General features: G+C 52.6%; 3 pseudogenes across 3 annotated transcripts; 2 read left to right on the plus strand and 1 right to left on the minus strand.

The window, feature by feature from the left end:
• The first annotated feature begins 4237 nt into the window (after nt 1-4237).
• Nucleotides 4238-19016, plus strand: POM121L15P (POM121 transmembrane nucleoporin like 15, pseudogene; annotated as a pseudogene). 2 transcript variants are annotated; one of them, NR_170942.1, is made up of 7 exons: nt 4238-6278; nt 9589-9795; nt 10171-10546; nt 11602-11707; nt 13742-13870; nt 14527-15441; nt 16334-19016. The product of NR_170942.1 is annotated as a POM121 transmembrane nucleoporin like 15, pseudogene, transcript variant 2 (transcript). The 2 variants fall into 2 exon arrangements; NR_135922.1 differs by lacking the exon at nt 4238-6278 and having other exon boundaries at nt 8070-9795.
• LOC102724728 (POM121 transmembrane nucleoporin pseudogene) lies at nt 4500-6381 on the plus strand (annotated as a pseudogene). Its single transcript, NR_136575.1, is given in 1 exon segment — nt 4500-6381. The product of NR_136575.1 is annotated as a POM121 transmembrane nucleoporin pseudogene (transcript).
• On the minus strand, nt 10236-16595 carry BCRP7 (BCR pseudogene 7; annotated as a pseudogene).
• Nucleotides 19017-20023: the final 1007 nt, after the last annotated feature.

Raw genomic sequence — 20023 nt, forward strand, 5'->3', positions numbered from 1 at the left:
CCCCCAAATCCATACACTGGTGAGGAAGTGGAGAACGTGGAATCCTCACACACAGAATGTAAAATGGTACAGCTCTGGAGAACATTTTAGCAGTTTCTCAAAATGTTTAACGTAGCTACTACATGACCCAGCAATTCAACTCCCAGATATACACCTGAGAGAACTGAAAGGATATGTCCACACAAAAATTTGCAGAGGAACTTGTACACACTTGTTCACAGTAGCATTATTCATAATAGCCCAAAGTGGCAAAAACACAAATGTTCATCAACTGATGGACAAATAAAGCATGAACAACTGATGGACAAATAAAGTATATCATTCAGCATATAAGAAATGAAGTGCTAATACATGCTACAACAGGAATAGACCTTAATAACATTTTGCTAAATGAAAAAAGCCAAACAAAAGGTCACATGTTGTATGATTCCATTTACATAAAAATACCTAGACTAGGCAAATCCGTAGAGACACAAAGATCAGTGACTGCCCAGAGCCAGAGGGAGTGGTGAATGTGAAATGGCTGCTAATGAGTACAGACTTCTTTTTGAGGTATTGAACATGTTATGGAATCAGATGGTGGTGATCAATGCATAACTTTGTGAATATACCAAAAACCACATGAAAGGTACACTTTAAAAGCCTGAATTTTAAGGTATGTGAATTGTATCTCCATAAACCTGTGATTTTGTTAATATACGCTTATTTGCAAACGAATACATGGATAATGAGGAATAATATGAAAGGTTAATGACAACCTTGGTGATAGGGTACAGGAGACTGGGAGAGGAAGATAAGTGTTGAGGTAGAAGAAGACAAAAAATAAAAGGCTAAAACAATAATCCAGGGCCAGAGGCCATGAGTTGGGAGATGGAGCAAGACGAAGTGTACAAAGAAATGAGCATAAATCATAAAAATGAGGGAACTAGGGTTGAAAACTCCAGCAAGTAGTTTGTAATGGGGGAGATGAAGCAAACCTAAGTAACTGCAATGATTCAACGGAATTTGCAGAAAATGCAGAAGGGCGAGAAAACAATGAAAAAATGGATCAGAAGATTTAAAATTGGCTCTACCCCACCAAAGTTTTAAAAAGCAAGCAAGAAGAAAATTCAGTTGCTCCTGGGCAAGAATTCTTGGGCCCAGTGGGGTAGAACCAAACCATGATAAGGAGACACCAGTGTTTTGTAAGCAAGAGAATATATTAAGGAGAGAAAAGGGGCATTTATTGGGAGAAAAGTTCTCACTGTGATTGTTCTGGACTAAAGTAGCCCCATCGGACTGCCTCAGGAACTCATGGTGGAAGAGGTGCCACTGGAAAATGGCTAAGTCGGGATCTTCCCCAAGAACACTAGAAGAGACAGAGGAAGAATAGAAGAGCTTTAAATTTTAGCAGATATTTCTTTTTCTTGTTTAATTAAAATAAATCTTATTGACCTAATATTTTTGAGACTGGGCTCTTGCAATGCTCCCCAGACTGAACTCAAACTCCTAGGCTCAAGAGATTCTTCCACTTCAGCCTCCTGAAAAGCTGGCACTACAGGTGCACACCACTGGGCCCAGCATAATGGCTATTTCTTGACAAATCTTGACAATGCCACCAGTATGTTTTTCTTTAGAGACAGAGTCTCGCTTTGTAGCCCAGGCTGGAGAACAGTGGTGTGATCCTAGCTCACTGCAGCCTCAAACACCTGGACTCAGGAGATCCCCCTGCCTCAGCCTCTCAAGTAGCTGAGACTACAGGTGCGCACCACCACACTTGGCGAATTTTATTTTATTTTTTTTATTATACTTTAAGTTCTAGGGTACATACACCTGGCTAATTATAAAATGTTTATCTGTACAGACAGGTTCTCGTTATGTTGCCCAGGCTGGTCTCGAACTCTCGGCCTCAAGCAATCCTCTCCTCCTCACCTTCCAAAGCCCCGAAATATGCCCACATCCAGCCTGCCACCAGTTTCTTTGCATACTTCTTTCCTAGGCTTGACCAAGACCTTTACTTTCTTCTGTGTACAGCTCAGCATTAAAAAAAAACAAAAAAGTTTAGGCTGGGCACAATGGCTCACGCCTGTAATCCCAACACTTAGGGTGGCCAAGGTGGGAGGTTTGCTTGAACCCAGGAGTTCCACACCAGCCTAGGCAAGATGGCAAGACCACGTCTCTCCAAAACAATTTTTGTAAAATTAGCCAGGTGTGCTGGCGTGGGCCTGCAGTCTCAGCTAGTGAGAAGACTAAGGCAAGAGGAACCCTTGAACCCAGGAGTTCAAGGCTACGGTGAGCTGTGATCACCTCTCCAGCCTGGGTGATAGGGTGAGACCCAGTCTCTGAAAACAATTAAAAATAAAAAAAGTTGAATAATGAGTCTTCTTTTTAGAGGCAATGTATTTTTCCTCTTTAACTTTTTGTTTTCCTTAGGCTATATGCACAATAGACAAAGTTGAAATTTAATCTTAATCTCGTAAACCCTTACTGTCCAAACACATCAAACTCAAAAAAAAAAAAAAGACAAAAACAAAAAAGGTGAAAGGTGTACAAGAGAAAAAAGGGAAGTAATCTGTGCCAAATGTACATTCCTTCCACAATTTGGGACAAAAATGATGTCTACCTGGTCTCTGGGTGCCAAAATAAGACATTAGAGACACTCCCCTCCTTCAAGAAATAAAATTGGAATCAGACACTAAGATACAATTAAACAGACTTTGAAAGTTGGTATGCACTACTGGGAGGTGTCTCACAGCTGGCAGGGTCAACTGCAACTAGAAGAAAAGCTCCTAAGGGCAGAAACTAAGTGGCTCACTTCCTCTGTAACACTGCCGTGCCCAGCACTGTACCAGCACCCCAGCAGAGTCAACAACTTTCCGTCAAGCCACACACTTACGGTCTCATCGTCCAGTGGAGGCCGCAGATGAGACATAGTGTGCCAAATCCCAAATGCACAGGGTGCCAGACAAGTCTGCGGGAGGCAGGAGGACTAGGGAAGCCTTCCAGGCAAGGTGATGCCTGAGCTGAGTTGTTTTTCTTTTGAGTTTGGAACATTAATTTAATCGGAGGAAAACAAGGGACATGAAAAGGGCAAGGAAATAAGAAAATGAGCTGAGTTTTGAAGGCAATGATCGGATGAAGTGAGAGAAGAATATTCCAGCAGAGGGAGACAAGGAGACTGCAGAGATTTCAAGGGGCCAAGAGCTGTTCGGTGCAGCTCAGTGAAGCACCTAAACAGAGGTGGGGGAAGGAGAACAGGGGTCAAAGCCCAGTATTGAAGTGTTCTGGATACCAAGCTAAGGAGACCTTATTACGAAGGTACTGGGGCTGCTGAAGGGTTTAAATGGGAGAGTGATTGTGAACAGATTAATAGTTTGGAAAGATACAGGCAGAAGTAAACCTCTGGATTTAACCAAAAAATAAAGGACAGAACCACAATGAAGATGTTGGAAAAGATCAGGAAAAACACTGTTAAAAGATATTCACTCTCGGGGCCGGGCGCTGTGGCTCACGCCTTAAATCCCGGCACTTTGGTAGGCCGAGGCGGGCTGATCACGAGGTCAGGAGATCGAGACCATCCTGGCTAACACGGTCAAACCCCGTCTCTACTAAAAATACAAAAAAAATTAGCCGGGTGTGGTGGCGGGCGCCTGTAGTCCGAGCTACTCCAGAGGCTGAGGCAGGAGAATGGCGTGAACCCGGTAGGCGGAGCTTGCGGTGAGCCGAGATCAGGCCACTGGAATCCAGCCTGGGCGACAGAGGGAGACTCCGTCTCAAAAAAAAAAAAAAAAAAAAAGAGTCTGGCTCTGTTGCCCAGGGCTGGAGTGCAGTGGCGCGATCTCGGCGCATCGCAATCCCTTCCCAGCCCCCGGGTTCAAGTGATTCTCCAGTCTCAGCCGCCGGAGTAGCTGGGACTACAGGGGCGTGCCACCATGTCTGGCTAAATTTGTATTTTTACTAGAGACGGGGTTTCACTATGTTGGCCAGGCTGGTCTCCAACTCCTGATCTCGTGATCCGTCTGCCCCGACCTCCCAAAGTGCTAGGATTATAGGCATAAGCCACCACGCCCGGCCTCTTTTTTTTCTTTTTCTTTTCTTTATCTGGAGACTGAGTTTTGCACTTGTTGCCCAGGCTGGAGTGCAATGGTGCGATCTCAGCTCACTGCAATCTCCACCTCAGCAGGAGAGCAGGAATCTTCAGTGATCCACGGGCAGATCTGCCGCCATTGTGGGCACCTGTTCCTCCCGCGACCTTTGTGCTCGCCTCTCTCCTTCCAGTACCTATTGCATGACCCCCCACGTCCGCCTCCCGCCATTGCCAGCAAGCGCCTCGCGCGGGTACCTGGCTGCGCTTATTAATCCGTTAAGCTCGCTCTGTCACGGGCGCCGTGATGTGCTCACGCGCCCGCTCCCTCAGGTTTAAAAGGCGCGTTGCCCGGCAACAGAAGAAACTGCTGGCTTAGCCGTTGGCCGAGTTGGCGGCTGGACGAGGACGCTCAGAGCCCAGCTCTCGAGAGTTCAAGCAACCGACGGTTCCCCACTGCTCCCAGGAGCGGTTACCTGGGCACTCTGTGCCCCTCCTTCCTGTTCGGGCCCAGGCCGAGGACCTGCCAGTAGGGCTCAGTTGCCTGGAGCCCGTTCAGCCCATCCCCCAGTTCACTTTGCCTGTGGGATCTCCCCGTTGCTCCTGCCCGTGGACTGAGTGGCAGGCCATCCTACAAGCACCCGGACACTTGACATCAGTGGTGTCAAGACAACTCTAAGAAGGTTTTCCGTGATCCTGCAAGCCCTGCCTTCCTTCCTGGGATCCTGCCTTCAATTTGATTGCACAGGTACCACAGCAAGCCAGTGCTGTGTGCTCCGAGTTCCAGGGCGTCCTCCAGCTCAGCCACTGCACTGAGAACATGGACTCTCTGTGGGGCCCAGGAGCCGGGAGTCACCCCTTTGGGGTCCACAACACCCGGCTGTCCCCAGACTTGTGTCCAGGGAAGATAGTGTTGAGGGCCCTCAAGGAGAGCGGGGCAGGGATGCCTGAGCAGGACAAGGACCCTAGAGTCCAAGAGAATCCTGGTGATCAGAGAAGGGTCCCCGAGGTCACCGGGGATGCACCGTCTGCATTTCGGCCCCTGCGGGACAATAGAGGCCTCTCTCCCTTTGTGCCCGGGCCCGGGCCTCTGCAGACAGACCTCCATGCCCAGAGGTCAGAAATCAGATATAACCAGACATCCCAGACCTCCTGGACGAGCTCCTGCACCAACCGAAATGCCATCTCCAGCTCCTACAGCTCCACGGGAGGCTTGCCGGGGCTAAAGCGGAGGAGGGGGCCAGCCTCATCCCACTGCCAGCTGACCCTCAGTTCCTCAAAGACAGTGAGTGAGGACAGGCCTCAGGCTGTCTCTTCAGGTCACACCCAGTGTGAAAAGGCAGCAGATATAGCACCAGGGCAGACACTCGCCCTCAGGAATGACTCCTCCACATCCGAGGCCTCTAGGCCCAGTACACACAAGTTTCCCCTGCTGCCACGCAGGCGAGGGGAGCCTTTGATGCTGCCACCTCCCTTAGAGCTGGGGTACCGGGTCACTGTTGAAGACCTGGACCGGGAGAAGGAGGCGGCATTCCAGCGCATCAACAGTGCACTGCAGGTTGAGGACAAGGCCATCTCGGACTGCAGACCCTCACGACCTTCCCACACTTTGTCCTCACTTGCAACAGGGACTTCTGGTCTGCCTGCCATTTCTAAAGCACCCAGTATGGATGTACAGCAGGAGACACACAAGTCCCAAGACTGCCTGGGCCTACTGGCCCCCTTAGCATCTGCTGCAGGTGTCCCCTCTACAGCTCCCATGTCTGGGAAGAAGCACAAACCACCAGGCCCCCTGTTCTCCTCCTCAGATCCCCTTCCTGCCACCTCTTCCCATTCCCAGGACTCAGCCCAGGTCACCTCGCTGATTCCTGCCCCCTTCCCAGCTGCAAGCATGGATGTGGGCATGAGAAGAACAAGGTGTGGCACTTCTGCTCCTGCAGCTGCCGCAGCAGCCCCTCCCCCCTCCACATTGAACCCCACGTTGGGGTCACTACTGGAGTGGATGGAGGCCCTTCACATTTCTGGGCCTCAGCCACAGCTGCAGCAGGTGCCCAGAGGTCAGAACCAGAGATCCCAGACCTCCCGGACCAGCTCGTGCCCCAAACGAAATGCCATCTCGAGCCCCTACCGCTCTACGGGAGGCCTCCCGGAACGAAAGCGGAGAAGGGGGCCAGCCTCATCCCACTGCCAGCTGAACCTCAGTTCCTGAAACACAGTGAGTGAGGACGGACCTCAGGCTGTCTCTTCGGGTCACACCCAGTGTGAAAAGATGGCAGATACAGCACCAGGGCAGACACTCGCCCCCAGGGGTGGCTCCCCCAGATCCCAGGCCTCTAGGCCCTGTAGATGCAAGTTTCCCCTGCTGCCACGCAGGCGAGGGGAGCCTTTGATGCTGCCACCTCCCTTAGAGCTGGGGTACCGGGTCACTGCTGAAGACCTGGACCAGGAGAAGGAGGCGGCTTTCCAGCGCATCAAGAGTGCACTGCAGGTTGAGGACAAGGCCATTTAGTACTGCAGACCCTCACGGCCTTCCCACACTTTGTCCTCACTTGCAACAGAGGCTTCTGGTCTGCCTGCCATTTCTAAAGCACCCAGTATGGATGCACAGCAGGAGAGACACAAGTCCCAAGACTGCCTGGGCCTAGTGGCCCCCCAGCATCTGCTGCACAGGCCTGTAGTCCCAGCTACTCAGGAGGCTGAGGCAGGAGAAGGGCATAAACCCGGGAGGCAGAGCTTGCAGTGAGCTGAGATCGCGCCACTGCACTCCAGCCTGGGTGACAGAGCGAGACTCCGTCTCAAAAAAAAAGAAAAAGAAAAAAAAGTTATTGTGACATTTCTGTATGAAATCAGCCTTCACTACATGGATAGGACCAGCACGCTTCTGCGGCACAACTCTGCAATCATACTACATTTTTTTTTTTGTATTTTTTTTATTCCTTTTGAGACAGAGTCTCACTCTGTCACCCAGGCTGAAGTGCAGCCGAGATCTCGGCTCACTGCAACCTCCACCTCCTGGGTTCAAGCAATTCTCCTGTCTCAGCCTCCCAAGTAGCTGGGACTACAGGCACACGTCAAAAGGCCTGGCTAATTTTTGTATTTTTAGTAGAGATGGAGTTTTGCCATATTGGTCAGGCTGGTCTCGAACTCCTGACCTCAGGTGATCTACCTGTCTTAGCCTCCCGAAGTGCTAGGATTACAGGTGTATGTTTATTTATTTATTTAAGATGGAATCTTGCTCTGTATTTATTAATTTATTTAGTTGAGATGGAGTCTTGCTCCATCACCCAGGCTAGGGTGCAGTGGTGCAATCTCGGCTCACTGCAACCTCTGACTTCCAGTTTCAAGCGATTCTCCTGCCTCAGTGTCCCAAGTAGCTGGGATTACAGGTGCCTGCCACCACAGCTGGCTAATTTTTGTATTTTTAGTAGAGACAGTGTTTCACCATCTTGGCCAGGCTGGTCTCGGGCTCCTGACCTCATGAACCACCTGCCTCAGCCTCCCAAAGTGTTGGGATTACAGGCCTAAGGCACCATGCTCGGCCATATTTATTTAATTATTTAGAGACAAAGTCTTGCTCTGTCACCCAGGCTGGAGTGCAGTGGCGCCATCTCAGCTTACTGCAGCCTCCGTCTCTGAGGTTTAAGCGATTCTCATGCCTCAGCCTCCTGAGTAACTGGGACTACAGGTACTCACCACCATGCAGGGATATTTTTTTCTATTGTTTTATAGAGACACGGTTTCACCATATTGGCCAGGCTGGTCTCGAACTCCTGACCTTAGGTGATCTGACAGCCTCGTCCTCTCAAAGCACTGGGATTACAGGCATGAGCCGCCAAGCCCGGCCTCTCACTACATTTAAGTGACACCATGGCTCATGCCTGTAATCCTAGCACTTTGGGAGGCCAAGGCAGGTGGATCACCTGATGTCAGGAGTTCGAAACGAGCCTGGCCAACATGGGGAAACCCCGTCTCTAGTAAAAATACAAAAATTAGTCAGGTGTGGTGGTACAAGCCTGTAGGCCCAGCTACTTGGAAGACTGAGGCAGGAGAATCACTTTAAGCGGGAGGCAGAGGTTGCAGTGAGCCAATCTCAAAAAAGAAAGAAAAAAAAAAAGAAAAACATATGATGCTGGGGCATCTCGGCCTCAATACCTGCATGAGCACAGTCACGTCCAGGCCAGGGCTGCTGGTCGAGGTCCGGCCCCATCTCTTCCAGCAGAAAGGGAGTAAGCTTGCAGGGAGGCTGGGGGACAAGATCCCAGGATCTCAGCCTCTGCTCATGGATCAGCTCTGAGACCCCGAGTGAGCTGGGGGTGCTCTGTGCGCATTGGTTTCCCCAGCTGTCAAGTAAAGGGATTGGATGAGGAAGTCTTGTCAAGGTGGAATGATCTCAGATTTGGGGCAGCAGTGAATGATCCCGCTCCCTGGGCCCATGCCAGTGGCCTGGCCTCGGCTCAACACAGCCCCAACACTCTGGAATGGGGATGAGGGGGCAGTCAGCTCTTGCTCCTAGTAAGAGAGATGCAACAGGGCTCTGTGGCTGAGCTGGGTGCCTTGCCTCACACCTGTAATCCCAACCTTTGAGAGGCCAAGGCAGGAGGATTGCTCGAGGCCGGGAATTTTGAGAATAGCCTGGACAACATAGCCAGACCCCATGTCTACAAAATAATAATAAAACACACAGCTATAGTCCAAGCTACTTGGCAGGCTGAGGCAGGAAGGTCCCTTGAGTCCGGGAATTGGAGGCTGCATTGAGCTATAATCGCACCACTGCACTCCAGCTTGGGTGACAAAGTGAGACCCTGTCTCTAAAAGAAAAAAAAATTGGCCTGTGAGCATGGGTTTGATTTTCAAACAGGACCTGGAGGGTAGGGACAGACAGTGCTGTCACCCTTAGGTGCTGAACACTCAGAAACGGGCCAGCGGCAGCCCTTCCCTCACCTGCAGACACCAGATTGGGCAGAACAGCACATGGCACTTGCAGCTCTTGCAGTGAGGGCAGAACCCAGTGTCAACCCTTCTGCCTGTGGGAGGGGCTGCTGAGGCCTGCGGAGAGGCCAGGGTGGAGGCTCGTCCCCTTGTCCAGCCCTTGGCGTGGTCTCCACCAGGTCCCCAGCCCACCAGTGCAGGGCGCCCCTGAGCCTGCTGCTGCCATGGGCCCTGTCTCTACCCAGGACGTCCCCACACCCTCGCAGTGTCAGGGAAATGATCATGGTGGCGGTGACACTCCGCAGGCAGGGCTGCTGAGAGAAGCTGAGAAGGGTCACACTGCAGGCAGGGGCCCGTGTGACAAGCCCCTCTCACCCCGAGAGAGCTGACCAGGCAGCTCACGAGCAGAGCCACATCCCGGGAGTCCGAGAAAGGTCCTGGCTGGGCTCAGCCACCTCATTGGCCACGGGCAGCCTTTGTCATGTGAGCCTTGCTCTCCTGGGGAGGCTCAGGCTGACAGCTGATGTGGGCATTGCCGAAGGTAACCCGTGGCCCAGTGTATATGGCCGGGTCTCCTCAAGCTGCATTCATTCAAGTAGGACCCAGGGTGCGTGCCCATCTCCAGCCCAGGGCAGCTCCCCTGTAAGCTGGGTGAGCTACTGAAGCCAAGGCGGGAGGCAGCTGACAACACCCACAGCCCATGCGGAGGTGGTGGAAAGGCTGAACTCAGCAGCAACACCAAATCCTGGACCAGGCAAAAACCACCCAAGACTGAGGGGCTCGTGCCAGAGCGGTGGCCACAGGTAAGAACCCGGGCCCAGGCTGTGTGGCAGGAATCCTCCATGTCCCAGGGCTTAGCATAGCAAAGGAAGACCAGCCGGGTCACCCTGGTGGCCATCTGTCCCTGTCCCACCTGCAGAGTCAGAACAGCCTCTCCCCAGTGGGGATCATCTCTCTCTGCCAAAGCAACAGCGGTCCCTGCCCCAACCAGACTACCCCACTCAGTGGAGTTACGGATGCTGCTCCAGCATCCTAACACTGCCCAGCTGGTGCCTGCCTGTGCTCACCCACACCCCCCAGGCCGGCCTTCCCTGCAGCCTGGGCTTGGCCACCTTGGCCTGATTGAGCACTGAGGCCTCCTGGGCACCCAGCCCCATCACTGCACCTGCTGCTTCCAGCCCCACCCCACCGGCTCAGGGGTTCTTCCCAGCGGCGCTGATCATGAAGTCAACATGCACGCAAGTCGTCTCAGGAAACTTCTTAATGAAAGTGTCGGCCACGGTGGTGTGTAGGTGGCTGAGCTCAGATTGCAGCTGCTAAGACACCAGCCACTTACCAAGAGAAAGCCAGGCTGCTTCAAACCCAGGGCCCACGGCAAAAAAGCATCACTTCCGGCCGGGGAGTCTGGAAGCCACGCCTTGTGGGAGGTCACACTGGCATCTAGGCCTTCGCCTGCATTGCAGAAGGAGAGCCGGGTCCCCCTCCTGGAGAACGCTGCGTTCCCCAGCCCCACACCGGCTTTGCCACCACACAGGCTGTTGAGGCAGGAGGCGGGTAAGACGTAGCTGTAGACCCAAAGCAACCACCAGCCCTGGGACCCTGCGGGAGAGGAGCACTTTTAGAACATGGAAAAGTGTGGTCATCCCATCATTAGACAGCACACATCCTACATAAATAAAAAGTCGTATGGGGAAGGAGGTTGGGGAGGGAATAAAAAATTGGCACAGACATTGATAGACTGGTTTCCAGTTTCAAGGTAACAGATGCACATCATGAGACCAGAGGAGGCAGAGACAAGGCTGGATTTGGCTTTTCTAAGCAACATGTGTTCCTGCGCAGGGCTGAATGGTCGCTGAGACAGAGATGGAAGCCAGGACAAGGGAGCCCACCGGGCCCAGATAGGTACAGAGAGCAGAGGCTCCTGTTCTGTCCTCGCCACCCACGAGGGTGACACTGCTTGTAAATGGTGGCTGTGCTCTCCCAGCAAGAAAAAAGCACAACTAAATCCACACTGCACACAGACGCAGACAGAAAGCCTTCAAGTGGCTCTGTTTTCTGCTCCCTGCCTTGCCAGGTCCACAAGCAGAGAGGAGTGTCAGGCACATGGCCCCGCTGTCAGGCTCCCCAGTGAGCTGCGGGCTCAGCAGGAGCTGCCCACTGACACACAGGGGACACCCACTCCTGCCACCTTGGGAGCGGTTGCCAGACAGAGCCGCACTGGGTGCTGGTGTCATCCAGGGACCCCACACACTTCCTTAAATGTGATCCTGCTTCCCTCTGCGCAGCTGCATCCTCTCCTCCTGCAGGACCGTCTGGAAACTTGGCTCTCAGTTTGCTCTCCCTTCTCTCCTCTGCCTGCCCCAAGCCCCTCTTTCTAAAAAAGTGATGCCATGTTCATGGGGTTATTTCTTGAAAATACTTGGCGGCCTCCATGCTTCTGTTTTCTTTGAGCCAGGTGGTCAGGAGGGCTTACAAACAATGCCTGGGCTCCCCCGCAGCTGTCGGCAGATGGGGTAGCGAATGGTCCTGTGCCTCCACCTGCTCCGGGAGGGAGTCTCCCGTCTCTAGGCCTAGCCCCTTCCTAACCCTCCACGTATCCTGTTCTCCAGAGACTTCAGAACCCACTCCTGAGAACAGCGGAGCCAGGCGCTTAGAGGAAGACCAAATGCTGCCAGGACACGGATTGTCCAGGATTACATTCCAGCATCTTATTAGGTATCTGGATCTGTTGGGGAAAAAATTAGAAACTATGTATAAAACTTAAAAATATTCAAGCATCAAAAGGTTATTTAGGATGAAAGTTTTAAAACAAGTCATCAGCAAGCTGCTACCACCAAGTGGAGACTTATACAAAAGTTGAGCGAGTCCACTGAGCTGAGAGGACAGAAATGAAGTCACCTGTGCTGGGGCAGGGGCAGGGACACTGGGGGCAGGGAGTGTGTGGGCAGAGAAGCCAGAGAAGTCCAGGCCTGTGGAAGCCAAACAGGAGAGCGTGGGCCGGAAGGGCGGTCAGGATCGGGGGACGAGGTCGCTCTCCCTGGAGAACGAACCCTAAGGTGCATAGCCTGGGATTCCCTCCCTGGAGGTCCTGTCCCCCGACATTTCACGGGCCTTCTGAGCTGCCTTCCAAGGAGGACTAACACGGCAACAAAAGAACCATTTCTGCACAAAAATCCTTCTGGGAAGAAAAAGAAGAAAGCCAAGAATGGAGTCAAAACGCTACCCAGTGCTGACTAAGCCTCTCAAACCCTGTTCTAGGTGGACTGTGGTTTCTAAGTCAGGGAAATGGAAGAGGCCCCACCCACACAGGGACAGGGCCATGGCCCCCACAGGATGAAGCAGCAGCGTTTATTCAAGATACAACAGTGAGGGAATCCGGTCACGTTCCCTTCTCCCCAGAGAGGGCGCTTCTTGACAAGTGATTCAGTAGAAATCTTTTAGACTCTATAAGTTAAGTTCATAAAAACCACTGCTTTCACCCTGTCTCCCAGGGCCAGGCCTGGACTCCGAGATGAACTGGTTTGGGGCGCCCTCGGGTGGCCACATAAAAAACCCACAGTCTGAGGCCAGCCTGGGGCTTTCAGACCTGGGCGGGATCTGCCCAGGCCACCTGTCCTTCTGCTTTGGGCCGCTGTCTCTTGGCAGATGGCCTGACACCTGGGGGTGGCCCAAGGATGCCTCAGAAAATCTTGATTCCCACTCTACAGATGGCCTGATTAGCCAGAGGTTTCCAGGCCGTCTGTCCGCCTCCAGGAGATGGACTGGGACCTTTAGACATCGGTGGAGAACAGGATGCTCTGTCCCTTGCTGTCCAGGGCAGGGATGGCCTCCAGCCGCAAGAAGTACAGCAGCACCTCGACCTGCCCTCGCGGAGTGGGGAAGAGGAGAGTGGCTCAGAGCGGGGCTCACAGCTGCTGGTGGGGAGGTCTTTGGGGCCCAAGCTCCCAAGTCCACCTCAGGTGCTAGAAACCCCTGCTGGTGTCATGAACCCCTTACAGTGGGACGGGGGTGGGGTGGGGTCCTGACAAGGCATGACTTGTTGGGTGAGGGGTGGTTATTTATTTTAGAGATGCACAGGGCCTTGCTCTGTCCCCCAGGCTGGAGTACAGTGGCTCCATCATGGATCACTGCAGCCTCTAACTCCTGGGCTCAAGCAATCCTCCTGTGTCAGCCTCCCAGATACCTAGGATTACAGATGTGTGCCCCAATGCCTGCCTAATTTTTCTTTGTATTTTTTCTGGAGATGGGGTTTGCTACATTGCCCAGACTGGTCTCAAACACCTGGGTTCAGTTGTCCTGCCTCGGCCTCCCAAAGTGCTGGGATTACAGGCATGAGCCACCACACTCGAACACTTGGGGTGGTTTTAAGCCCCCAGCAAGGTGCACCAGCAGGACCAGGAGGTGGCCTGGGCACCCCCTATCACTCCCATCCATGCAAACCTAGGCAAGTCCCTGTCTCTGAATCTCAGCCACCACCACATACAATGCAAGTGGGAAGATGGGCAGGACTGGGGGTGGGGCAGGCAGAGGCCACCTCTGTCAGGCTGGGGTTGCATGGGCTGGAGGCTGTCTTCCCATACCTGGGACATGACCTCCAAGGACCAGCTGTCAGTCATGGTGATGGGCTGGCTGGGGTTGGCAGGGAGCTTGCTCTCCTTCTCGGAGGGCCGGAGCAGCGTGGGGCCAAACACCGTGCCAAGGTTGTGCAGGGACATCTTATTGACTGCCTCCTTCTCTGCCATCCTGTAGAGGACCGAAGCAGAGGGTGCTGTTTCAACGCCACCACCAGGAGAGAGGCAGAGGGGCTGTGCCGTGCTAGAGTCCTCAGGGAGGGAGTGACCTCGACCCTGGCTGTGCTGCAAGCTGACTCCAGCCTTGGTACTTCTGGGTCTCAGTGGCCCAGGACAAGGGGCCAGCTCTGGGCTGATGGGGAGGTCTTCATGATGTGCTTGGGAGGGAAGGGGGGGCGGTCCAAATGCACTGCTGGCCACGGCCAAAGCTCTGAGCTCTTTGTTAAGGCCACAGTGCAGAGGGAGGAGGGTGGCAAAGAGGAGAGGCAGGGGCGGGGGTGGCAGTGGTGCTAGTCCTTAGAAGCAGTGAGTTACTGCAGACAGGGGTCAGGGGATAGGTCCGTGGTGCTGGGGGTCTGGTGGGAGCAGAGGGGCACCCCACGGCCTGGAGACCTGGTGTCCTGGGCAGCCACAAGAGAGCTGGGCTACCTTTCCAGGCGGTCTAGAAGGAAAAGGAAGGTGAGCAGGTTGGCCTCCGGCAGGGACGACAACAGGTTGAGCATGCAGCTCTTCTTTGCAACTGGGTCTGAAAGAGCTGCAGGAGGCAGTGGGTCACTCCCCTGGGTTACGACAAGCCGGAGACCTCTCCCGAGGTGGTCACATGGAGCGCCCGGGACACGAGTCCTTGCGCAGTTTAGGCTTGTCATCATCGTCACACCCACAGCGCTGGCCGCCAGTGAGGACCCTGTGAGGGGCACCTGTGTGGGGTGTGAACCACCTGAACGCCTTTTCTCTGCCTCGCAGGGGTCAGCAGCACCCGGCAAACAGCAGCAGGAGGAGCCGCTAGAGCAGCTGCTCATGGGCAGAGCTGCCCTCGGGCAACTCCTGCCACCACCCCCTCCCCAGGGAGCCCAAGGCAGGGGAGGCTCAGCATGGAATGAAACAGGGGAGTGAGGGACACAAGGAGGTGGGAAGTGGGAGGGTCCCAGCCCCACCAAGTACGCAGAGAACCCCTCGTTGTCCTGGACACCACAGGGGCACCTGCAGGCTGGGAGACCAGGTCCTCTGTGCATGGGCCCGGGAGGCAGACCTGCCCTAAGGGTGATGCACAGGCTACAGGTGCTGCACGCTCCAGCGCCCACTCTAGACATCAGCCTCCAGGTTGACTAAGGGTCAGGTCATGTTTGAAACCATGCTTGGCTGGACCAGGACCCATGGCAAGAGCACCTGGGCACCAGTGTTTAGCCCTGGTCTGCAGGAAGGAGGACAGCAGACTTTAGGACCCCACAGCACGGCAGTGCTGACCATTTCACCCACTTGGCCTCCTTGAGAAATATGGATGGGGACCCCTCTGGGGATGGGCAAGGCCTTCCAGGATAGGCTCAGTTTTGGTCCCCTGCTTTTTGAGGTTGGGTTAAAATTCCGACCATGGCAGAGGAAGCACAGCTCAGGTTCCCACACCTCACTTTTCACAGCCTCTGAGGGCAGCAGTGCACGTGGAGGAGACGTCTCCCATGAGGCCAAGGCCTCCAGTGCTCACCGATGCCCTCTGCGAAGTTGGGGTAGAACTCGTCAGTGAAGAGGGGCTCGGGCAGCTCACGGAAATACAGCTTCAGCGTGCCTGCGATGGCGTTCACGTCCATCTCGCTCATCATCACCGACACGTCCTTGTTATCTGGAAAGAGCACGGAAATGCAGCGGCCTCCTTGAAGATCCTGAGTGAGTCACCCACCATCCCTGCCTTGGCTAAAGCACCGTCCCTGCCATCCTGACCACTGTGTGGGTCCCTCCTGGGCTTTGAGCAGCTCATCTGACTCCTCCCAAGAGCTGTGCATGGTTCTGTGTCTGCAGAGTTGATAGGGGTGCGTGGGCATTCCCATTCCTCTCCCCTGCTTGGCCTGATGTGATGGCCAGGAGGAGGCCAGCATGGCAGGACACAGCGCCTGCGTGGGGATTGGGTGGCTCTGCCCTGTACATAGCAACCACCCCTGCACCAGTGTCATCTGATAGCAGGAAGGCCGTGGGAGAATCTGATTGGTTTCAGTGTTTGAACCGGTGTCTTCCTTTGGACCCAATTGGCCATTGGTGCTTACATCCTCACCACAGGCCAGGTTCATTCTGGGCCCTCAGAGGGAGCTGAAACTACCACAGGGCCCTCCCAGGGATGCTGGGCATTCTAGGGGTCCTGGTCAGGGTGGGTGGTCTGTGCTGCAAAGAAGGGTCTGCAGGCACAAAATCCTGTTGCTTTGAAGATGCTGGGAAGGACCCTCTGGGGTCTCAGTGCCCTCCCCTGGCATTTGAGGCAGGTCCGGGTCCTTCAAAGCCTGTGAGGGTTGGTGAGATGGAGGCGGAGAGGCTGCAGCCCCGGCCTGCGCTGAATTTCATCAGTGCCCTCTGCCCACCACATCCTCATACAGGGCAGTGGACAGACCGCACTGAGTCCTGGGCTTCCACCTCCTGTCCAACCCCAAGGCAGGAAGGCCAAGGCCCCGCAGAAGCCCCTGGTCCACTGCACCAAGTGGCACGAGTGGGTACGATGGTGTAAAAACTGGCTTCTATAGAAGCTGTTTGTACAACTCTTGTTTTCTCTTTTTTAAAAATAATAAAACAGTAAATGAAGAAAAGACACAGAGAAGGATGTGACATGCCTGGGCCGTGGAGCACTCTGAGATCTCATCGCGGACACCACTGCCCACACCTCCATCCCGTCCTGCGCAGGCCGACACTCACTGACGTTGAAGGCTGCCTTCAGTGCCTGGATGTCTGCGGCCACCCCAGACATGCGGTAGATGCCCACCTCCTCCATGCCTCGGCGCTCGATCTCCTCCACGCACTGGCGCACGATGTAGGGCACCTTGGACCTCTCTCTCCTGCGGGAGGAGGGAATGTTCTCAGTGTCCTAACAGCCCTGCTTGGGCCATAACACAGGAGACCTGCTCCCTATGTGCACACCCGGAGGTGGGGTGAGGACGGTGATGAAGGTACCCAGGTCTGGGGCTGCACACAGAGCCTTCTGCATGCCTGTCCTCCCTCTGCAAGCTCTGTCCTCATTGCATGTGCTTTCTCAGGAACCTTTCAAGCGGCCAGAACCCCTGCAAATCACACATGACCTTTGTGGGAAGGTCAGGAGGCCTGTCTAAGTCAAGTCAGCACGGGAAGGGCATCTGACAGATTCCAGGCCTGGGGTGAGCAGCCTGTGCCCCCGGCTGGGAGGTCAGACCCGGTGTTGGTCCTGCCACCCACGTGCTGTGTGAGAGGAGAATCCGTGACCCCTGCCCTGGGCCTTAACACACATCCGACGAATGAATGAAGGGTTGCCTCAGCACCGGTGCTCCAAGTCCTGCGATGCTAAGTGCTTTTCTCCTCTGAGTCTTAGCAATGGACAATTCCAATACCTCCACACAGGACACTAGAGTAAGAATCCTTCACAGTTAGAACGCAGTGCTGTGCGGAGGCCTTAACTTGAGTTCTGTTTTGCACCTGGATTTACCAGCACATCAAAGCTGCTTCGCAAGCCCCCTCATCAGCAGGGCTCATGTGGGGGAGCTGCTGATGGAGTCCTCGCTGCTCATGCCCACAGCCCTCCCAGAGTGCTATGCGAGTGGCTGCCGTGCAGTTGGGGGTGGGGCGTGGTGTTTAGACACAGATAGGAGTCCAGGGTATGACTGATGGAGGCCCCGGCCCACGTGACCAGCAAGGTCAGAGGCCCAGCCAGATTCCATCCTGAGGAAGCAAATGAATTCTCAGAGGAAGTGGTCTGTGTCTGCATGAACTGCTCTCAAACCAACAAATAGGCTTCTCTTGGCAACTGACTCGTGACAAAGGGTTCAAGATTGTTTGAAAAAAAAAAAGGGGGGGGGGGGACAGGGAGGCAGTAGGTCCTGGAAAAGTAAATTCTTTATTTTACAATAAGAAAGTGATTACATATTTTATTTTTTTTTACAATGGTGGAAAATTAGAAGTGATTGTGAAAATGATGTCTACCCGCCTTGCTGATGAGTAGGATGTGATTTGGCTCTTTAGGAAACTGAATTTGCAGAACTTAAGAATATTGATTTATAAAGGGCATGGCCATTGACCCAGTCCATCTTATGCAAATCTGGATGCCATAAATAATATTTAAAAATGAAAGTATTGGGGTGGAGGTTGCAGTGAGCGGAGATCGCCCCACTACACTCCAGCCTGGTCAACAGAGTGAGACTCTGTCTCAAAACAAAAAAAAAAAAAAAAAAAGAAGAAGTCATTCCCAACATTGCTCATCAAATTATGACCATAAATTTCCAGGATCAGACTAACGGCTAAAGAGACTGATGCATCAACACCAGGCAGAGAATAAAGCAGATTTTTTTTGTTTTGTTTTGGAGAGCCTCTAGGAACTTGAAAAATACATATGCCACACTCTTAAGACCCGGTGGTTCTTAATCAGGGATGTTCATTAAAATGCTGGAAAACTCTAAAGATTTCCAGGTCCCATCCAAGGAGATTTTGCTTCTGATTGACTGGCTAGTGGCCTGGCCATTGGTATTTTGAAAAATCCCTCCAAGTGATTCTTTTACATCCCAGCTAGAAAACCCTAAATTAAAGGTGAAAAACCAGACACCAAGTGGCATTTAAATAAATGTCAACTTTAACTCCACAAAGCATCTGGTTGCATGTGGACAGAAAGAGAAGGAAAGAGGGCCCTATATCTGGATAACTTGGAAATGTGCTCCCCCTAGCAAGATATCTACCAAAATTAAAACCATATTTGAGGATGCTGGCACTGTGAGCAATATATAAATGATGCATGTAACATCATTTAATATGATCTTATTTTTAAAAATGAGTAGAGTGGTGTTTTCTAGCTGTTAGTGTTTCCAAATATCAATGTAGAAATTAGCCTTCTGCAGCTGCAGAGGCAATTCAGTTTGCAGCTTGCTTGCATGTGGCCTAGAGCCACCCAGCCTGATATGTACTAATTTTTTATGTTTAACTTGCCAGAGTAGAAACTCAGTTTCTGGGCGAGGCATAGTGGCTCATGCCTGTAATCCCAGAACTTTGGGAGGCCAAGGCAAGCAGATCACAAGGTCGGGAGTTCAAGACCAGCCTGGCTGACATAGTGAAACCCTATCTTTGCTAAAAATACAAAAATTAGCCCGGCATGGTGGCAGGCACCTGTAGTCCCAGCTACTTGGGAGGCTGAGGCAGGAGAATCACTTGAACCTGGGAGGCAGAGGTTGTGGTGAACTGAGATCATGCCCCTGCACTCCAGCCTGGGCAACAGAGTGAGACTCCATCTCAAAAAAAAAAAAAAAGAAACTCAGTTTCTGGTTACATCTGATCTTTATTTTTTATATATCATCTAAGCTATAAAGTTATATTCCCTATTTGTGATCTTAAAAGAAGGACTCCAGGAAAGTGTTCAAATATTCATATATCTAAACTGGAACATATGTTTATATTTTTAAAAGTAGCCTGAGAGGTTGGCAACTAAAGTCATATGTTGAATGATCATTTCTCAAGAGTTTCATTTTATGGTCTTTCTCTTGTTCTGTAAAATGTGGGCATGGATAGATATAAAGTGCCTGGTGTCCATGCTTTTGTGAAATCCCTTCCTCTTCCATGTGAATGGGACCTGTGACTTTCTTCTAACCCAGAGAACACAGCAAAAATGATGTGATTTATCTGAGTCCATTGATGACATTGATTACGACTTCCCTTCACCACATTATTTAGGACTGCGTCGTAGGAGACTGGGACACATATCCACTTTGCTGGCTTGATGAAGTAAACTGCTAAGTTGAGGAAGCCCACATGGCAAGGAACTGTGGGCAGCCTTCAGCCAACAGGCAGCAAAAAGCTGAGCTCCTCGGAGCTACAGCCTCAAGGAAGTTACTTCTGCTAACAACCTGAAAAAGCTTGGAAGCTAGTTTCTCTCTAGTGGAATTTTTAGGGAAGAGCATGGCCCAGGCAAGATAAATAATGTAAGTGGAAAAACCTGTCAACAATAAAGGTTTTAAAGGAAAAAACAAAAAACATGTAATTTAGAAAGTAACTGCCAGGAAAAAAAAAAAAAGAGACTGGGCCAGTGGCTTACTACACCTGTAATCCCAGCACTTGGGGAGGCTGAGGCGGGTGAATCACAAGGTCAGGAGATCGAGACCATCCTGGCTAACACGGTGAAACCCCGTCTCTACTAAAAATACAAAAAAAAAAAAAAAATTAGCCGGGCGTGGTGGTGGGCGCCTGTGGTCCCAGCTACTGGGGAGGTTGAGACAGGAGAATGGCGTGAACCCCGGGACGTGGAGCTTGCAGTGAGCCG

The sequence above is a fragment of the Homo sapiens genome, chromosome 22 (assembly GCF_000001405.40).
Source record: "Homo sapiens chromosome 22, GRCh38.p14 Primary Assembly".
NCBI lineage: Eukaryota > Metazoa > Chordata > Mammalia > Primates > Hominidae > Homo > Homo sapiens.